Source organism: Homo sapiens, chromosome 6 (assembly GCF_000001405.40).
Source record: "Homo sapiens chromosome 6, GRCh38.p14 Primary Assembly".
In the NCBI taxonomy this organism is placed as follows: domain Eukaryota; kingdom Metazoa; phylum Chordata; class Mammalia; order Primates; family Hominidae; genus Homo; species Homo sapiens.
In genome coordinates this window covers 138,174,599-138,195,993 of record NC_000006.12, presented here as the reverse complement: position 1 = coordinate 138,195,993, position 21,395 = coordinate 138,174,599, and the positions used below count along the sequence as shown (strand labels likewise).

At 41.8% G+C, this 21,395-nt stretch overlaps 1 protein-coding gene across 2 annotated transcripts in view, besides 3 other annotated features; it reads right to left on the bottom strand.

Moving 5' to 3' along the window:
• ARFGEF3 (ARFGEF family member 3) overlaps positions 1-21,395 on the bottom strand; it is a 182,725-nt gene that overhangs the window by 148,670 nt on the left and 12,660 nt on the right. The window lies entirely within an intron of this gene.
• Positions 11,743-12,242: an enhancer, noted in NCBI's record as "H3K27ac hESC enhancer chr6:138504889-138505388 (GRCh37/hg19 assembly coordinates)". NCBI's record gives its function as "activates a minimal SCP1, AML or CMV promoter by ChIP-STARR-seq in naive H9 embryonic stem cells {active_cell/tissue: H9 hESC(naive)}" and the evidence as "EXISTENCE:reporter gene assay evidence [ECO:0000049][PMID:30033119]".
• Positions 12,243-12,744: an enhancer, noted in NCBI's record as "H3K27ac hESC enhancer chr6:138504387-138504888 (GRCh37/hg19 assembly coordinates)". NCBI's record gives its function as "activates a minimal SCP1, AML or CMV promoter by ChIP-STARR-seq in naive H9 embryonic stem cells {active_cell/tissue: H9 hESC(naive)}" and the evidence as "EXISTENCE:reporter gene assay evidence [ECO:0000049][PMID:30033119]".
• Positions 20,286-20,455: an enhancer, noted in NCBI's record as "experimental_90526 CRE fragment used in MPRA reporter constructs". NCBI's record gives its function as "activates a minimal promoter by MPRAs in K562 erythroleukemia cells, with activity observed for both the introgressed and non-introgressed 6:138496761 variant alleles {active_cell/tissue: K562}" and the evidence as "EXISTENCE:reporter gene assay evidence [ECO:0000049][PMID:34662402]".

Sequence of the window (21,395 nt, the reverse complement as noted above, 5' to 3'; positions counted from 1 at the left end):
CCAAGACACTCCTTTCTTTCTGTCCATTGTCAATCCATTTTAACATTTCCTCACATTATCTCCCACATGTCAATTTTACAACTTCCTGCCGTGAAATGCTGTAAGCTGCTCCTCAGCCCCACAGACACACTTAATTCCTCACACAGCCACTTCTCATGGCACCGTGGAAAGCGTCTGCTCTTTAAGGTTTTCGTAAGAAGCTCTTTGTCAATATATATAAAGAAATTAAAATATTGGTATGCCTTGAACTAGGGTTTCCTCTTCTAGGAGCCTTTTCTAAGAAAATAGTCACAGATAATAGCAAAGTTTTCTATGTAAAGATGTTTACTGTATCTTTATGTATAATGTAACTGAGGTTAAACAAATCACAGTACATCTATAGAACAGAATAATACATAATCACTAAAAGTATTCTAAAGTTTTTTTGACACAGGAAAATACTTTGAAAATGTTATACAAAAATATGAGACTATCATGCAGATTATATACCGTACATGGTTGTCCTCTTGAATAAAACCTTGCACACACATACAGCATAGGCAGAGGAGAGGGGGAGAGATTGGAAAGAACTTTCCCCCAACACTTTGCCTTTTGGGAATGTGGATGATTTTGGTTTTATTATTTACATGTTTCTACATTTTAAATATCTTCAAGAATAAAACATGTTACCTTCAGAATTAGGAAAAAGGTTGCCAGGTGCGGTGGCTCACACCTGTAATCCTGGCACTTTGGGAGGCCGAGGAGGGCAGATCATCTGAGGTCAGGAGTTCAAGACCAGCCTGGTCAACATGGTGAGACCCCATCTCTACTAAAAAATACAAAAATTGGCTGCATGTGGTGGTGTGCACCTGTAGTCCCAGCTACTCGGGAGGCTGAGGCAGAAACATCGCTTGAACCTGGGAGGCAGAGGTTGCAGTAAGCCGAGATCACGCCACTGCACTCCAGCCTGGGAGACAGAGTGAGACTCCATCTCAAAAAAAAAAAAAAAAAAAAAAAAAAAAAAATTAGGGAAAAGGTGAAGTTAGTTTGAGCCTACAAGTACATGCACATGCTCTACCTTTCCTTCAAAGCTTTATGGCCTGAACACTGAATGCCTGTTTCCCTTAATGGCCTCAATGTCATCCTTCCTGAATTCCTCCATGCTAACTTCATCTCCTCTATCCAGTCACCACCCTTTCCAATTTATCAATAACTGAGCAATATTCCTGGAATAGCTTCTCTTTTTCTTCTCCCTAGAGAAATGTCCTTACCATCTTTCAAACATTTCCTGAATTGTTTCCTCTCCCTAAAGCCTTCTTGACTGAAGTGAGGCTTGTGATCCTAAAATACAGTTACCTTAGCCAAATACGTCATTTAAAATCAGTCTACTTAACCTTGCTTCTTTCCTTTCTGTGACATGTTTTCCTACAATCAAGCTTTCAGCCTTAGAGTGTGGATATACTGACAGTATGAAACATGCCTATGGAAATTGCTCTGCCCTGCCCTGGATCACAGAACACATGCATTTTGTTACTTAATGATTTTTTTCATGATGAAAATGCTCCAGCTGGCAATCTGGAGTTAGCACCCTGCCCGGAATCTCCAGCAGGAGCAGCGCCCTTCCGCCAAGGAGTGGCAAATGCAAACAGCAGCAGCAGCAGGTTCCTAACACAAACACTTTAATTTTATGGAACAAGAGAAAAGTAGTGGGAAAATACCATCACTATCTTTTTTTTTTTTTTTTTTGGAGACGGAGTCTTGCTCTGTCACCCAGGCTGGAGTGCAGTAGCATGATCTTGGCTCACCGCAACCTCTGCCTCCTGGGTTCAAGTGATTCTCCTGCCTCAGCCTCCTGAGTAGCTGGGATTACAGGCGCCCGCCACCACGCCTGGCTAATTTCTGTATTTTTAGTAGAGACGGGGTTTCATCATGTTGTTCAGGCTGGTCTCGAACTCCTGACCTCAGGTGATCCACCCACTTCCCAAAATACTGGGATTACAGGCGTGAGCCACCGCGTCCGGCTCCATCGTCTTTTTTATATGCTGATAACCTTATGCAACTGTAGAGCTACCTCTTAAAAAAATGACAACTCTATGGCATAAATATCTTTCAGAAACATCTATGCTACAAAAGACAGGTAACTTAAAAGCAAAACAAAACTAATAATTTTGAGAAAAAAAGACTGACTTCATATTCTCTTCAAGACTCACTGGCCTATTAAAGCTCACAAATAATGTATAAATAGATGTATTATAATTTCTTATAAATTAAGTACCATGACTGCAAAATGGTCAACTAAAGTAACAGTTTTCTAGGAAATAAAAATTTCCAGGTATGGTGTCAAAATGCCTTATGAAACCAATCCATTACCAGTTAACACAACAGTCAGAACTAAAATTGGCATTCCTAAATGACTAATAATCCATTTGTGAGAAGTACATAAGAGTTTTAGTAATAAATAGAGCATTTCTTTAATAAATATTTATTTAGCCTACTACATGTCCAGGCGCTGTGTGAAATGTTAGACACATAACGATGAATGAGACACACGGTTCCTGCCTATATGGAACCCATAGTCTAGAGGAAGTAACAGACATGTGATAATATGGAAACATAGGTACAAGGTAATGACACTTGTATGAAGGTATACACAACCAACTATAGAAGTATAATGAGAGTGGGAGAGATTTTGTCTAGAAAAATGCAAGTGTCTTCATAAAAAGGTGATACTCATTAGGCCTTGAACTGCAGGAGACAATGGAACTTGGTCAGCTCAGTGAAGAAGAAAAGGACATTCCCAAATGAGATTGTAAATGCAAAGGTACAGAGGGGGTTCGTGGAGCAGCCAAAGTCCCATTGTGACCTGATAGGGAAGTCACAGTGGGAAGACTGGTGTGAAATGATTTCACAAAGGAGCTTTGAGCCAGCTTTTGAAGGGTCTTGCATACCATTCAGAGAAACTAACCTTTAGCCAGTTGAAAATGAGGAGCTAATGAAAGATTTTTAATCAAAGGAATAATGTAATCTTAGACATTTTCTACCAAATGGAACTCTGGCTACAATGTAGCAAATGGATAGAAAACAGACTATCATAAAAAAAAAATGTTTGGAGTCAAACTACTCTTGGTCAAATTCAGGCCCTGACAATGGCAACCTGTGTGCTAAGCATTTCACCTCTTCAACCCTTACTTTCTTCATCTAAAAATATGGAACTAATATTACCTATCTCAAGCAGTGTTAGAATGATCTGATAAGAAGCTATGTTAGTCAAAGTCCTGACTGCCCAGGGCCAGCCTAACATTTACAGTGCTCTGGAGCGCCCCAGCTCTGTCTTGTCCTGCAAGGGGTCTCAGCAACATGGACACCTCAGCCTGCAGACCAATCCCAACCCACAATCACTGCAGTTAACTGCTTCATGGCCAGCCCTTAGGCCTAGGGATGCACACACTTGTGGCACCATTTGCCTTCTGAAAGATAGAGCCAGGGAAGAGACCTCATAGCTGAGTTTGTTTGGTTAGTTTTTTTTTGAGACAGAGTTTTTGCTCTGTTGCCCAGGCTGGAGTGCAATGGTGCGATCTTGGCTCACTGCAACCTCCACCTCCCGGGTTCAAGCTATTCTCCTGCCTCAGCCTCCCAAGTAGCTGGGATTACAGGTGCCTGCCATCATACTTGGCAAATTTTTGTATTTTTAGTAGACGATGTTTCGTCATGTTAGCCAGGCTGGTCTTGAACTCCTGACCTCAGGTGAGCCACCTGCCTCGACCTCCCAAAGTGCTAGGATTACAGGCGTGAACCACCTTGCCTGGCCCCGACAGCTGATTTCTGTAAAGAGGCTCAACACAGACAGAGCAGGGAATTCTGAAGTCTTCAGTACCCAGAGAGAAAAGGGCAGGCTTTGGGTGGGAACATTTCCATTGCCCTGAGGAGACTGAAAATAAAGCCTCTACAACACGGGTCCAAGGCAGGGTCCTGCCTCACCTAGGACTCAGCGTAGCACCGACAGTATCTAGCACATTGTACACGCTCAACAAATGCTTGTGATTATGGTGCTCTTTCTGATTATCACAGTTGCCTTATGATAACTTCATTGTTGTCATCATTATTAACCAGAGGCATGAGAGCCTGGAGGAAGGGCTCCACTCTAATAGAAGGACCCAGCGCTGAAAGTGCATTTAGGTGTCTGCATTCAGGAATGGAAAAAAGGAAAAAGAACCTACAGACAGCATGCAAACGAAGTAGAGAAGACTACCTGAAAGAACAGTTTTGAGGAAGTAAGTGGGAAAGATAGCAGCTATATTTTTGTATATTTTGAGTTCAAAGTGCCTTTGGGCATCTAAGTGCTAATACATAACAAATTGGACGTACTAACCTGGAGCTAAGGAAAAATTTAGAAGTTATCAATCTATAACTAGTAGCTGAAAACTTGGAAGTGGATGAAACTTCCAAGGAAATGTACAAGGTGCAGAACAGAAGGATAGGGCTCTGAGAAACCCCCACAGCCAGCGAGTAGAGAGAATTAATGATGCTGACAAAGAAGTAGTAGCCAGAAGAGGCTGTGATGCTCAGGAAGATGCCAGAAGGAAGGCTGTCCTTCTAAGATATGTCCATTTCGTGCCAGTACCCTTCAGTCACTGACTGCCCACTCTGTGCCAGGCATTCTGACTTGGTATACATTATCTCATTTAATTTGATCATTAACACGCTATGTGATATGTAATTATTTCCATGTTATCAATGGGCAGACAGGCTCAGAGATGGTAAGTAACTTGTCCCACGTCACCTAACTACTATGAATTATCAGTTCCCACTAGAAACCTAACTCTACTGTGAAAGTTAGAAAAAACTTGCTCAAGAGGAAGCGGCATGGAAAGGATGAGAAGTGATGTGAGCTAGGAACTTTCTCAGTGAGCTAGGAACTTTCTCAGTGAGTTAGCTCATTTAATCCTCACAGGAATTGGGGCAGTGGCTATTATCCTGTCCATTTCACAGTCCAAGACATGAAGCTCCTGGAGTCATGGATCCATGAATACAGTTGGTAAATGGATGAGTCCAGACTCAAATATAAGGATTATAGGACACAAAAGCCTACACCCTTTAAATAGCAACATGTTCTCTCTCCACCACAGGGAACAAAGACTAAAGGGGAAAAAGAAAGAACCCCACAACATGGAAACAAGCACCAGCATCCCTGCAGATTAGCCAAAGTATTGAAAAGGTTTAATCTTCCAGTTTTCCTATGTTCTTCACACAAACCACCCAGCACATGGCACCACTGCAATAATCCCCACTTTTCCCAGGAAACACAGCACTGAGAACTGTTCCTGTTCGAATCGCACACTCAGCTATAAAATGGGCAGGAACGTGGGCTCCAGAAGATAGAAAAATCTGTACCCTTCACTCTTTTATTGACTTTTTATCTACAGTGATAAAACTTTCAGCATTACACCATTAAATTTAGCCTCAGATATAGTAAAAGCTAAGCATCAGACTAGTTTAAATACATGGCAAGGCCAACGACCCTACCTCAAAGCTTCATCTCTGGTTCTGAGATCAACTGTACCATTTAAGGCTCAGAATCACACGCTGCTCATCAAACACATGCTCGGCTCATATCCACTTGACACATCCATCCATCCTTCCAAATGCCACCCTGCTCCACACTTCTGCTTGCCCTGTTAGCATTCCCAGAGCCCCTCCTGGCAAGGTTAGTGCTTCCTCCACCCCCATGACACAGGATATGGTAGCTGGTTACATATGGGTGGTTTTAGTAATAGCATTAAATAACTGTGGGGGAACATGTTTATCCTGCTTGGTTCACAATCAACTAGCAACAAACATCCTTGCGAAATCCTCTACCAAGCAAGTGAACTGCCTTTCTAGTATCATGATGGCATGCTACTCTTTTTATTTTTATTTTATTTTATTTTTTTTGAGACAGAATCTTGTCCTGTTGCCCAGGTTAGAGTGCAGTGGCTCAATCATGGTTCACTGCAGCCTCAACCTCCCAGGCTCAAGTGATCCTCCCACCTCAGTCTCCCAGGTACCTGAGACTACAGGGATGTGCCACCATGGCTGGCTAATTTTTTAAAAAGTTGTTTGTAGAGACGGGATTTTTGCAATGTTGCCCAGCTGGTCTTGAACCCCTGGGCTCAAGCGATCCTCCCTCCTCGGCCTCCTAAAGTGCTGAGATTACAGGCATGAGTCACCATTCCTGACCATATACATTTTAAAAACTGAGACCAAAGCTTCAAAGAGGAGAAGATATCTAGCATTTCATGTTAATTTTTGACCAATTGTTAAAATCATTCCTATAATAAAGGAGACAGTAAAACGACTTTCCTTCCTGCCATGGCGCATCAATTTGATGGAATTTTAATGGCCTTAAAATGTTTTTAAAGAACACTTAACGACATTGGAAAAACGTGTTTGATATACTAAGTGAAAATCGCAAGCTTCAAAATATTACATACTATATATCCTAATTTCATTGTATACTCTCAGAAGAAAATAAACCAAATATTAAGATTCATCTTTAGGTCATATGACTTTTGCACCCAGCAGTCACAGGTTAGAGTTTAGATTTTAACAGTTGTTACTGGGTAATCCTGGGCAAGTTATCCTCACAAAGCCTCAGTCTCCTCTCTATAAAGTAGGGATGTCGTAAAACCTTCCGCATGGTTCAAGTGACATGATGTGTCAATACTTATGTTTCCTAGGCTTTTGAATTTTCTACACTGAGAACATACTCAGTTCACGCCCTGACATTACCTTTTTTCACAAGTGTGTCAGTTGTGTATTCTCTTACTTTCTAAATCATTTAAAACAGGTGTTTCCCTAGGTCAGACTGAAACCTTTTTACCTTCTGAAGTTACAGCTCCTGTCCTCTGCTAAAAGCTTTGCAGTACCTTCTCCATAGGCATCGAACATCACTTTCATGCATCCATGTATGAAATAACTCCCCTTAAGTAATTCATTTTGGCAACAAGCATCACGCAGAGAACAATGAGGTAAAATTTTATTTTCCCATAAACAGCAACTTCTCCCAGCAGTAATATGTTTGTGGTATTTCAACTACTGAACATCCCCATCGATCCTGTACTGCAAGCACTCTTTAAAAATAGGCCTTGGGCAGGAGCCAAAAAGGTTGGGCTGGTTCCTTACTAGCTGCCTGCTTTAAACATATCACAGACCCTATACCTCCCTCTTCCAGCCTGCAGGTCAGCTGACTAAGATCTGCATTAACCTGCCCAACAAGTAGCCTCAGGTCTGGCACTATGTGATGTGAAGACAAGACTGTTTCTCAGGATAAATGTTGTGTTAAAGGTTGGGTTTGTGTGTGGGCACAACAGGTGCCCTTCAGCCTGTCTGTAACTGCCTTATAGCCTAGTCACCCCGAAGGCAGCTGTATGTATAGCAATACATTGGCAATTGGCTGCTTTACTGCAGTCAGGGTAATAGCAAGTCTACCATATAAATGCATGACCTTTCCAAACGAGACATGTGCTGGAAGAAAAACAAATATGCCCAGTATTTTTTTTTTAACACACTGAAGACAGAAAACAGTAGCAGATTGTTCTCTTAGTGCAATGATTCAAGAGCAAAAGACAGTCAAACTAAGACAGTAAAAGCTGCCTGACAACTATCCCAGCCGAGGGCATGACAAAGTGACTGTGGAGGACAGGACAGATCCTCATTACCGGAGGGGGGGAACCTAAGTCTGCCTGACATGATTATTCTCGCCATTCATATCTACCAGAGACCACAAAGAGCACATACAGCACTGTCATTTGCAGCAGGAGTGGTTGTAAATGCCCTGCATCCAGATAGAGACTTAGTAAGCTTGCAAAAGTACACATATGGGTGCCCACAAAAATCTGCGAAAACCAGCTAGGATCCTGGAGGCTGATAAAGATGTTCACATGGAGAAAAAGGGAATTTCTCAATAAACAAATACTCAAGTATTATAAACACTATATCCTACTCTATTATTTTATAGCAAAAGCTTATCATGTAGTCGCCTTTAGCTCAAGACAGGTGTTTTTCCTTTCCCTAGATTAAACCCCCCCACACACACTCATTTCCTATCCTAGTATAATTGGGAGAGGTTCCTAAGTTGAGGAAAATTAAGAGTGCTTGACTCCCCCACCTACACATACTGCTGGCTCCACCCGATGCCTTTTTAGTAGGGTGACTTGACACACTGTTCACATCAGGTGGATGCTGAGGTGGGCTACAGTGTTTCTCCCAATATGTGGGAAAGCACCAAGGCACTCTCTGTCCCAGCCTGGGAAGGCAGAAACATGCCACAGAGGACTGAACCAGGAACTGCACTGAAAGACAGGGTCAAACCAACCTGGGAGAGAAACATTTGGACTCAAGTTTATGGGGCATCACCACTCTTCATGGCCATACCAGGTGGCATTCTCCCCTCCCCAGGCACACACATGGACCCAATATTCTTATGCAGGCTGGGCGCTACCCAATTGTCCCTTGAGAGCCGGAGCCTTCCTTGCTGGGATGTCAAGGCAGCTATGCCTACCCACCTGAAAGCCCAGGGTGTCTGAGCAAGGAGCCTCACTGCTCCAGGCTAAGGAGAAAGACCATAAAGGGAGGTCACAGTATCATGAAGGACAATGGGGTCTGTGAAAAGGACTCTGGTCCAACTCCCTCCCACTGTTTAGCTCTGAACAAACAGAGGGGATAATCCTGGGCATGCTACTTGGCTTTCTCCAAAGCTTTGTTTCTATCCACAAGGCTCTAGGAAGTTTGACTTTCCCAGCCTCCTTCAAAAGGATGAGAGGGCCGGGAGCTGTGGCTCATGCCTGTAATCCCAGCATTTTGGGAGGCCGAGGCAGGTGGATCACCTGAGGTCAGGAATTCGAGACCAACCTGATCAACATGGAGAAACCCTATCTCTACGAAAAATACAACATTAGCTGGGTGTGGTGGCGCATGCCTGTAATCCCAGCTACTCAGGAGGCTGAGGCAGGAGAATCTCTTGAACCCAGGAGGTGGAGGTTGCAGTGAGCCAAGATCGCACCATTGCACTCCTGCCTGGGCAACAAGAGTGAAACTCTGTCTCAAAAAAAAAAAAAAAAAAAAAAAAAAAAAAGAAAAAGGATGAGAGGAATAACTCGTGGAGGAGATATGTAAAAGCTTTGAAAGGGACAGTGCAGTGAGAAGAGCAGCAGAGTCTAAGGAAACAGGCCCTTTTCTTTTATCCTGGCTCAGACACTTGTGTTCCCTACAAGTCTCAGTTGTTTTGCTTGCGGGACGGGGATATCTCCAGCACCTCTTCAAATTCTAACAGCCTCCACTTTCAGATGTGTGGCTGACAGTGTGAGCAGCCTTCTCCTCAGTGACAAGAGTCTAACTTTATTTTGCCCAACAGCATGGTCAGCTCCAAGTAGTAGATCAGGACTGGCGTGAGCCTTTCCCAACAATCCTGTTTTCCACTTCTCCTGCCTCCCGTGTAACCCTGGAAAACTTTTGCTTTACCGACAAAAAGGACCAGACCTGCTTAGTTGGCTGTGCCCTTCTGCCTTTTGTCTTTGACTTCTTTCTGGATGGGGATGTGAGATCTGAAGCTGCAACAGCCATTTTGTGCATGAAGAGTCACATATAATGGAAGGCCAAGAGAATCCTGGAGATATCAGTGCTGAAAGCCGACCTCCAGACAGCCTGTTACATGAGGAAAATAGCCCCATCTCATTTAAACCACTGCTAGTTAGGCTTTCCCTTACTGACCACTGAATGTATTTGTAAGTCACATACTCCACTAAGGCCTATTTCCAGAGAAGAGCCAATATTCAGGTAGTGGCATATGTGTCTTCTGTCCCAGTACATTTCCCAAGGGTGAAAGCTGCAATCAATAGGAACAACAATTCCCATTCTAACACATCTAAACGACAGATATTCAACAAATATGCATTGAAGAAACAGAATAATTAAAAACAATTTTCGAGTCAGACCTATATTTGAACCTCTATCATCTATTAGCTGTGGGACCTCAAGCAAGTGATTTTATCACTCAAGCCTCAGTGCCCTTATCATTAGAATGCAGATTATGTTCGTACCTATTGTACTTGTTGTAAACGATAAGACAATGCATGCCAAGCCATTAGTATAATTCCTGGCATAGAACAATACGCCATAATTGGTAACTCTCATTACTGGGGGTCACTCATGTAGCACCAGCAGCCATGGGTATAAGGATGATGGAGTTCAAGGTCTGGATGGGAGATTCTACAAGTAAATCAGTAATTTATGGAGAAAGGTCGAGGCTCTAATATGCATCTGCATGCTCAAGGGGTGGAAAGAAACCCAAAGCCCTACCTCTAAGGTCCCATACCTTGTAAACACCACAGATGTCTCAGCTCTCCTCCATATTTTATCAAAGTTACCAACCATTTAATTTAAAACTTCAACTATTTATCTTACAAAATAACAGGACAACAAAATGGTCAAAAGACAGCCAGACATGAAGAAAAGAATCCTACCAGCAGCTCTTCAGATTGGTTATGGCAGCTGCACATGCCGGGGCTATCCTCCCTTCTCTGGATCCCTACGGGTCATGATCATTCCTTTAGGGAGGGTGCATCAGTTAGGGTGCGTTCAGCTGCAAGTAACAAAGTCCAATTCCCTCCGTGTCCTAAACAAGGAGGCAGATTAGCTCCAGGTTCAGGTGATTCAGTGCCCCCTTAACACAGCCAGGAGGCCCTTTCTATCTTTCTTCAGATCCACCATGTGTCAGCTTCATTCCCTGGCTGGCTCCTTTCACAGCTGCAAACAGCTATAGCTGCTCCAAGCATCATTTGAAGGTGAAACGTTTTGGAGGAAGAAAGAACTTCACTTTCACAAGACTGAGAGGGTACCCCTCTCATATTCTGATGCAGGGCAAGCCCGTGGCCAGCCTCCTTGGAAGCACAGGGCTGATAATAAGAGCAGATCCTATACCTAGTCAGGTTCATTGAGGATAAGGAGCAGTTGGATGTTGGGTAGGCAAGCAATGGTTTCTCCATTGGAAAATAATGGAAGGCCTAGAGAATTTACAAATGCAAATAATTACCCCCTAAACTAAGAATACCCTTGTGTATTTTCTGGTTAAAAACAAAACCAAAGCATCATCTTCAGGTAAGTATGTGTTGCAGTACTACTGGAAATGTGATGTCCTCCGTCCCACCCATAGCTCCATCAACAGCCACCCTCATCCATGGACTGCCATGAGAGAGGCCAGCTCAAAGAAATTTCTTTAAGTCTGTAAGTAAAAATGGAAACAGAACACACTGATAGAGCAACATTAGATTCCAATTCTCTTATTTCAGACACCAGAATTTATTTTAAAGAACACTTAAGACTGCCATAGTCAAGTTTACCAAATCTTGCCTGCTCAGGCAGATTTGTTTATAATTCCCAAGGACAAGCTGGGCCCTTTTATATTCACAGGACGAGGAAATAATGCTACTTAAATCCATAGTCTCATCTGCCCTTTCTTCCCGGTACCCTTGTTTTCCTATCTAACATCACACTTTGAAACCCAGCACAGGAGCGGGGAAACCTTAATCACACTGCAAACTGCCAGAAAACTGCAAGCCTGTTTACTAGTGACATTTCATTCACTTGTTGTGAATGTTAATTCATTTGTTGTACATTCTGCAAACTGCTGTCTTATGAAGATTACATCTTATGTAATCTTCATAAGAACCCAGTAAGGACTACATTGTTTGGGGGAATATTAATTCCACAGCTATGAGGATGGTAGAAGTATAATAAAAGTAGTTATTTTTCATTAAAATTATATCATTTATATTAACATCAAATGGGTTTGCTATTATTTTTAATGAATAATTTTAAAAATTTTGTTTTAGTTTCTAATATGGTAAATAGATACAATCCAAATTTTAAATAGAAGCTATGTGGGATAATTTTTAAAAATGTACAGGGTCTTGAGACCAAAGAGTTTGAGAAGTGCTGCCTCAGTCCACATCAGTAACGCACAGAGGGTTCTGAGAGCGAGCCCTGTGGGTGGAAGCTGCCCTTCTGCCCCAATATGGGGGAGATACAAAGGGGCAATGCCCTCCTCTGGACAGACCCAGCGTGGACACATGCTGAGCACTCACAGGGGAGGTTGAGGCCACTTCTGTGGCCTGCAATGGGATCTCTTCAGACCTGTCACACTGGGGAAACAGAGGCACCTCCCTACCTTCCCGTTTCCATCTCCATTTACGGAAACTGACAGGCAAAATGACCAGCTCGAGGTCCCAAAAGGCATATGTAGGAGAACCAGGACTTGCATCTGTATTATGATGATCTATTTGCTTTCCCTTCAGCAAATGACAAGCTCTTTGAGAGAAGAGAGCTTGTGTCCTGTTCCTCATTGCATTTCCGGCATGCACCATGCTGTGTGTTTGGCTCTGACTCCAAACCCAGGCCACCTGCTCCCCCTTCCCAACTGCCTGATCCACATGAGCCCAGTCCCCACCCTGTCTTCCCACTCTGCATCACTCTCTCCAGACCCCTCCGATACAGACGTTAACATGTAGAACTGAACACAGCGAGGCAATCATCTCAAGCAAACATTCATAAAAACATCCTCTGTACTGAATGCCTGGGCATGCACACCTTTAACAATTGTTTTCTTTCTTAATCAAATCCTCCTGTTGACTTTAAATTACATCTTTATTTTTACTACCTCTGAAATGCATGAATGCTACCCTCCCCATTTTCAGCAAAGGTCGTGTTGCTGGCCTTGTCTTCCACATACAGCTTTATTTCAGAGTTGGGGGTAAATCCAGCAGCCCTCCCACCTGCTCAGTCCTGGGTGTCCTCTGTGTTCAGCCCTCTCCCTCTGCCCTTCCCAGTCACGGGATCTCTCCTTCTCCCAACCCCCAAGCACAGCTGGACCCAGTTTCCTGGCTTCTGTCCTACCAACAGCCTCTGAAATAAGCTTACAAAACCCCTTTTGTTTTTGAAGGTTTTTCTCCCAGCTGGTAAATACAGAAAAACAAAATAGGATTTATAAAATAAAGCACACCATGGGGCAGTTATAGTTTCAGGAAAAAAAACCCATTATTTTACATAGAACAATTCTCTCTGGAGTTCATTAAACTGAAAATTAGCATAGGTCTGCTCTCACTTAAAATATTCTAGAAGGATTCCTTTAGGCCTAAAAATGAGCCCTATCCTAAATCTTCTCTCAGTAATTCTTCAGTTTTGCTCACCTTAACCCTCATTAAAAAACCATATCAATTGTTACCTAGCCTCTTCCCTTGGTCAAGTTAGCAGAAGGTGGAGAGGTAAGAGTTAGTTATTTAATTACATAATTACTCAGGTTTCCCCAGTGGGTATTCACATCAATTCCAGACTAGAGTCTCTTTTATCTTAAAGTTTCCTTCTTCCTTAGAGAGAGGTAAAGTCAATTTAAGTCATTTCCTGGCAAAGCTAGGTATACGTGCTAATCTTAATAGCTCTAATAATTCATGACACTCCCCTCAGTCTGAATATAGGACAACTGTCTTTTAAAAGCACTGGCTCCTTGGAAATTGCATTTGAAGCTGTTTTGATACAAGGTGGTCTAATCCATAATCCTTTATTGGTAAGTTGCACTTGTGAGTGGGCAATGGCGAAATATAGCAGGTTTTCTAGGAGGTTTTTTCAACAATGGTGCTTCATCAAGTGATTTACTGCACAAAATTTAATTGTATATATCTCAGCTCTTCCCATAAATTGCAAATAATAATAAAAAATCTTCTGTATTAAGTCAAATAATTGGAGAGCTAATACCCCATAGTGAGTTAGGAAGGTGATTTTTGGAGTCCAGCAGCCCTGGCTCTGCCCTGGACTGGCTCAAGGAGCTTGGCCAGCTACATAGCCCCTCCAACCTCAGTGTGTCCACTGTCTCACACAGGAGTGCTGTCAAGATTAAGTGGGACCAGCACTTGGAAACAAAGGTTTCCAAGAAAACAACACATGATTCTAGTCTGCACCCACCCTTCTCCCAGAAGAAAAGTCCTACAGGGTGAAAAAGAAAGATGTAAATAACTCTATGGAGCTACTGACATCACTAAATTGATGAGCTCGGGTCCCTATCCATCATTTGGGATCCATTTTTAAAATCCATCAATATAAACAATTTCTCAGAGGCACAGTTTGAAACGAAAGCAGGAAATTTGGGACTAAATTGCCTTAAAGGCACAGTTTAATGATGAAAACAATTCACAGAATAATGCACACAGCAAAAATCCTACCTTCATTCCATTCAAAAGGGATGAAGAGGCTGGATGCAGTGGCTCACACATAATCCCAGCACTTTGGGAGGCCAAGATGGGAGGATCACTTGAGGCCAGGAGTTCGAAACCAGCCTGGCCAACACGGTAAAACCCGGTCTCTACTAAAAACACAAAAATTAGCTGGGCATGGTGGTGGATGCCTGTAACTCCAGCTACTCTGGAGGCCAAGGCAGGAGAATTGCTTGAACCCGGGAGACAGAGGTTGCAGTGAGCCCAAATCACACCACTGTACTCCAGCCTGAGTGACAGAGTGAGTGAGACTCTGTCTCAAAAACAAAACAAAACAAAAAGGAATGAAGAAGCCTAAGAAACAAAAATTCATAATTGGATTGTTATTTTTTTCAGTGGATTTATGTTTAAAGCCCAGAGTTATAAAGTCATCAACTATTGGTCATAAAGAGAGGATGAGTGGCCATGGCTTGTTTCTGAAGATTAATAATTCGTGCACATCCTAAAATATCACTCAAGTCAACATCCCCTACACACTAACTTGGGTGACTTATGCACTCATTTTTTAAGTGGTGACTTCTTTAAGTGATGACTGCATCACTTAAAAAGTGCTTTTAGGTCAGAGCTATTAACAAGGACAGGCCTTGTAATGGAGAGCTAATTGTAGGTCTTCCTTATTAATGGGAATAGAACATGGAAACCATTAGGACTGGCTTACAACTGGCAGATAGCCCACAGACGCAGCTGGTTGTAAGTTAGGAAATAGAATGGTATTATCACTTATACTATGTTAAAAGGAGACAAGAATATTCTTTGTCTTCTATGGCAGCAGGGAAAGGAAAAAGAGAAACTAGATCTTCAGAGCACCTTGATTTCTAACACAGATTTCAGCAACCTCCACTGCTAAACGCTAGTCCATGTGCCACTCTCTCCTTGCAAACAGATTTTTCTGGTCACCTGTTTATGGCAAGCCTGATCTCAGGAAGCTAGAAAAGTTCAGTTCTCCTCTAGAACAAGCCCTTGCTCACTTACAAGGTTCCCACTGAGCCCAGAAAGGCTGACAATGTCTTCCCCACATTGCCTTTCACAGCTTGCTGGGATAAAGAATTCGCTAAATCTGAAAATGAGCCAGGCTTGGACTAACCAAAGTGTCTTAAAGCTCCCCCAACCTGCCCGCCTTTTTTTTTATGGTAACCAGCAAAACTCAACAGAGTTTGACTCAACAGGGCCAAAACTCAGTTACATTTGTATGACTCTGCAAAGAGAAGTCAGCTATAGTAGGGAGAAAAGGAAGAAGGCAAGAAAAGGAGACTCGAGATGAGTTTACATCCAAGAGAAGCACAGATGTTTGTAATCTACCTAGAATAATGTGAAGTACCTGTCCAGCATGTATGCTCAGATCCTCCATTCATTAGCACAAGCTGAAAACATGAACTGCAAATTCTACACCAGCATCCTTTGCTTCCTCCATGGCAGTGGGAGGTAGCAAGGGGAGTCCAACACTTCTCCATGACGTAAGAAAGGCAGGAAAAATACTGATGAGAATCAAACTGTGTGCCAAAAACAGCTATTGGGGTATTTGCTGTCCTCATCATGTTAAATCATACAAAGTTCTTCCCAGTTGATGCAGATATGTTTCTTTCTTCACATTAAAGCCAAAAAACTGATAGGCATTGGTGGTTCACACCTGTAACTCCAACACTTTGGGAGGCTAAGGTGGGAGGATCGCTTGAAGCCAGGAATTTGAGATCAGCATGGGCAACATAGCAAAACTCCATCTCTACAAAAAATTTTAAAAAAATTAACTGGGCATGGTGCCATACACCTGTAGTCCTAGCTACTTGGGAGGCTGAGGCAGGAGGGTTGCTTGAATCCAGGAGTTTGAGTGTGCAATGAGCTATGATTGTGCTCCTGCACTCCAGCCTGAACAACAGAGTGAGACTGTCTCTAAAAAACAAAACAAACAAAACAACCAAAAAAACTTGCATATCTTGCAGAAGTCGCTCCAGGGTTCATAGCACAGAATTAAAGCACTAAAATAGATCAATGCAGCATAAAGGCAATTAAAGTAAAACCATATGAGAAATGGGAAGCTGTTATGGATGGTTCTCTCCAAGTATAAACACTGATGAATGTGCTCACACCCTGCATGAAAAATCAGTAGGTCCCCACGTCAAGACGAGGAGGAATATGTCATTATCTAGACTGAATGAAGTGTCTGGACAAGGCAGGCAAAATGAAGCAAAGGGCCAGGCAGAGGGTCAGCTAGGGAGGAGAGGTGGTGGGACACATACAAAGACAAATGGGAAAAAAAAAAGCTGTTAGAATCTTTTTGGAAAGTACAACTGGCAAGAGAAAGCAATTAGGCTGAGGTTGGCTCTGAAAAATCATGGAGCAGGTAAGCAAAATGGCTGGGTTATGGCTAGGGTAATCACTGGGATTGTTCCCAAAGGGGCACTGAGTAATGCCAACAAGAGGTTTGCTGCCAATGGCTGCCTTTTGACAAAATAGCTCCAGGATTCCCTTGACAGTTTTATTTCATCTGGACCAGTACTGTTGCAAGTGACCTGGAAGGAAGAAAGAGACAATCCTGAATTGGGACAGGATAGGAGTGGAGGTTCTTCAGTCCTTTAGAACATAAATACTCCAAGTCAAATTCATGTTGGAGGTGGAGGTAGGACAGGCAGTATGCCTCTTCCAGGGTGGCCAAGGACTTTTCATGGAAATCTACTGAGAACTGAAAACTTTGTATCTTTAGCATCCTTTGGCATAGAATATTGGTCAGAGTCCTGATTACTACCACCACCATCCCCCACCCCTTATCTAATATACATTAGGTGGGGCAGGGCTTTAGTTGAGTAGAGGGCACAGGATTTAAGTCTACACTAGCTGAGGTCAATGAATTGAGTGTTGGGCTTCTGGGTATACTCTTTAGACCGACCTTCTCAGTCAGTAAGATATTAGAAGTCCTATTGCCAAAGCTGAGATTCCATTTTGGCACAGATTCTTTCAAATACTGCATTTTCTAAGAATCTAGGAGATGAAGGCAGTGGCTTTCTGGGACATGTGATGTAAAGCTGGAGAAGCAGTTTCATCCCACAAACATTTATAAGGCACTGACATAAGAGATACAAAGATGAGTAATTTGTCTAGATGAGCTCCTTGAGGCTAGGGTCTGAGAATAGAACCTGCAAACAACTGCCAACGTGGTTGATGAGCTTCACGACAGGATTATGTAAGAAGAACGGTGAGGACACAAGGGAGAGAAATATAATTTCTACCTAGGAAATTAAGGAAGGACTTCAGGACATCTCAGCACAGTCTTCAAGGATAAGTAGGATAAGGAAGTGAGAAAGGCTGCATGTTATAAGACACACACTGGGCAATTTTGATGAAGAGAGCAGCCCAGAACATGTTCCCCTAACATTTTAGTGCTCAACATGCAGGGGAGCTATCGGGCTACTTATTCAAACACCTCTAGACCTGTGGTTTTGGTCTTGGCTTTGGCATGTGGAAGGAAGAGGAGCCATGACAAGTATGCTATATTTCATTATATGAGATGGCCTAGGACATAAGAATGGTGAGGATTAGGGAATGCCTTCAGTAAAACCCTAGCCGACCAACATCATAGTCACATCTTCGAGAGAAAAAGTCCCCCTGCCCAACAAAAACAAATTCAGAAAGAGGAAGCTACCCTTGCTCCAAATGCATTTAAATCAACACAAAGATAAAGGAAGCATACAAAAGTAAGGTAATGTGACACCCTCAAAAGAACACAGTAATTCTCCGCCAATAAATCCTAACCAAAAAGATATCCTTGAAATGTCAGATAAAAAATTCAAAATATTTATTTTAAACACGCTCAATGAGATGCAAGAAAAATCTGAAAACGAATATAAGGAAATCAGAAAATCAATTCATGATATGAATGAAAAATTTACCAAGGAGATAGACATCTTAAAAATATTCTGGAACTGAAAAATTCATTGAAGGAATTACAAAATATATTCAAAAGCTTCAGTAATAGACTAGACCAAGCAGAAGAAGGAATCTCAGAACTTGAAGGCAGGTCTTTTGAAATAATACAGTGAGGCAAAATATAAGGAAAAAAGAATGAACAAAGCCTTTGAGATATTTGGGACTATATAAAGCAATCAAACTTACAAATTATCAGTATTCCTGAGGGAAGAGAAAGACCAAAGATCTCTTTAAGGAAATAATTGATGAAAATTTCCCAAGTCTGGCAAGAAATTTGGACAGATCCTCCAGATACAGGAGGCCCAGCAATTCCCAGAAAAATGCATTGCAAAAAGGACTTCACTGCAGCATATTATAATTAGACTGTCTAAAGTAAAAGTGAGCCAGGTGCAGTAGCTCATGCCTGTAATCCCAGCATTTTGGGAAGCTGAGGCAGGTGAATCACTTGAGTCAAGGAGTCTGAGACCAGCCTGGGCAACATGATGAAACCCAATCTCTACCAAAACAAACAAATAAACAAACAAACAAACAAAAAATACAGAAATTAGCTGGGTGTGGTGACATATGCCTGTAGTCCTAGCTACAGGGAGGCTGAGGTGGGAGGATTGCTTGAATCTGGGAGGCAGAGGTTGCAGTGAGCTGAGATTGCTCCACTGCACTCCAGCCTGGGTGACAGAGCATGACCGTGTCTCAAAAAAAATATAAATAAATAAATAAATAAATAAATAAATAAATAAATAAAGTAAAAGTGAAAGAATTTTAAAATCAGCAAGAGAAAAGCATCTAGTCACCTATAAAGAAAACCCCATTAGACTAACAGTGGATTTCTCAGCAGAAACCTCTTAGATAGAAGAAAATTGAATGACATTTTCAAAATGCTGAAAAACAAAGAAAAGAAAATGTCGACCAAGAATTTTATATCCAGAAAGAATAAGCTTCATAAATGAAGGAGAAATAAATTCTTTCCCAGACAAGCAAATGCTAAGAGAATTTATCATCCCTAGACTGGCCTACCAGCAATGCTCAAAGGAGTCTTAAACATGGAAATAAAAGGCTGATATTCACCATTATGAAAACACAAAAGCTCACAGGTCTTATAAAGCAATCAAAGGATTAAGAGAAGAGAAAGGAATGAATGGCAACAAGAGAGAATTCCACCAAACCACAGAGACAGAGAAAAAGAAAAAAACAAAGAATCTAAATGACAACGTGACAGGAACAAAACCTCACATACCAATATTAACCTTGAATGTAAATGCATTAAATGCTCCACTTAAAATATATAGATTGTCATAAAGGATTTAAAAAAGATCCAACTAGGCTGGGTGCAGTGGCTCAGGCCTGTAATCCCAGCACTTTGGGAGGCCGAGGCGGGTGGATCACGAGGTCAGGCATTCGAGACCAGCCTGGCCAATATGGTGAAACTCCGTCTCTACTAAAAACACAAAAATTGGCCGGGTGTGGTGGCGCTGTGCCTGTAGTCCCAGCTATTTGGGAGGCTGAGGCAGGAGAATCACTTGAACTCAGGAGGTGGAGGTTGCAGTGAGCTGAGATTGCACCACTGCACTTCAGCCTGGGTGACACAGCAAGACTCCGTCTAAAAAAAAAAAAAAAAAAATCCAACTACCAACTATACGCTGCTTATAAGAAACTCACTTTACTTGTAGAGACATGTGTAGACTGAAAGTACAGAGGTGGGAAAAGATATTCCATGCAAACGGAAATCAAAAGTAAGCAGGAATCACTATACTTATGTCAGATAAAACAGACTTTAAATCAAAAACAATAAAGACAAAGAAGGTCATTATATAATGATAAAGGGATCAATTCAACAAGAGACTATAACAATTTTAATATATATGTACCCAACACTGGAGCACCCAGATTCATAAAACAAATATTACTGGACCTAAAGAAAGAGATAGACACCAATACAATAATAGTAGGGGACTTCAACATCCCACTCACAGCATTAGACACGTTGTCAGGACAGAAAATCAACAAAGAGACATTGGACTTAAGTTGGACTTTAAGCCAAATGGACCTAACAGACATTTACACAATATTCTACTCAACAACTGCAGAATATTCTAATTGTTCTTGATCGGTAGCCTCCAAGTCTTATGATATTACTTGGTTGAAAAACCAGTGGATAGCTATGATGGAATCAGTGACTATCAGTGGCAACTGTACTTGGTCATATTTTTCACCAAATCTGTCACTATTAGGGAACATCCTGAGTGGGCTTTTGCTTATGAAGCAAAAAGGACATGGGGAGGATGATTCTAATCTAAGACATAACCTGAGCTATCGATGGCTTCTTCGGTGTAGGGATACCTGAGTAGCCCACTAATTCATAGATTTATTCAACCCTGCAAAGATGCATGTAAGGAGACCTTGAAGTTTAAGAAAAGGGAAAAGAGAAGCAAAGATAGCAAGGGTGCAGTCTCCTCATGGAGGAAGATAAGGACCCTTAAAACTCACCCCCAAATCAAAAGCAAGACTAAGGGCAGGAAGGTGGAAAGATTTTCACATGACTAGCCACTAATAAAGTCATGAAATATTCCATAGTACATATTCCCTGGACCTGCCTCCCTCCCTGGCATTGAATATCAATAGGCTCTGCATTAATTCCTACCCTTGTTGCTCACCACATCAACAATAAGAGTGAGCATTTCATCAGTGACAGAGCCTTGAGCACAAATAAGTAATGTCTCTTGACCTCCTTAATTCCATCTAATATGTTTGATCATCAATATCTCTCTTAGAATGCTTTATGCATAACTGAATCCAGTCACCAGTCACTTAAATCATTCAAAAGTCCTTAGAGCAATCAATGGCAAAAGGAAAAATAATACAACATAGGTCTCTCAAGGATTCAATTTCAACACAGGCTCTTCAAGGGTTCTTCTGATTTAAGCTACCACTACTAACGTACACAACTGACCAAAACAATATTAGTAATTATGAGAATGGGACTATATTTAACATGAAATTAACAAATAAGTGGCAAAAGAAAAAAATAGGAAAAAGCAGAGCAAAGGTATTCAAGATTATGAATGATCCCTGTAGCCCTTTCCAAAACAAACAATTTTAAAAATCTGCAAATAATCACCTGGAGGTGATTATGTAACAGAAATGAAAACTAAATCTGAATTCAAAATCAGAAGAATGCAAGAGATAGTTTATAAACTTGGTTTC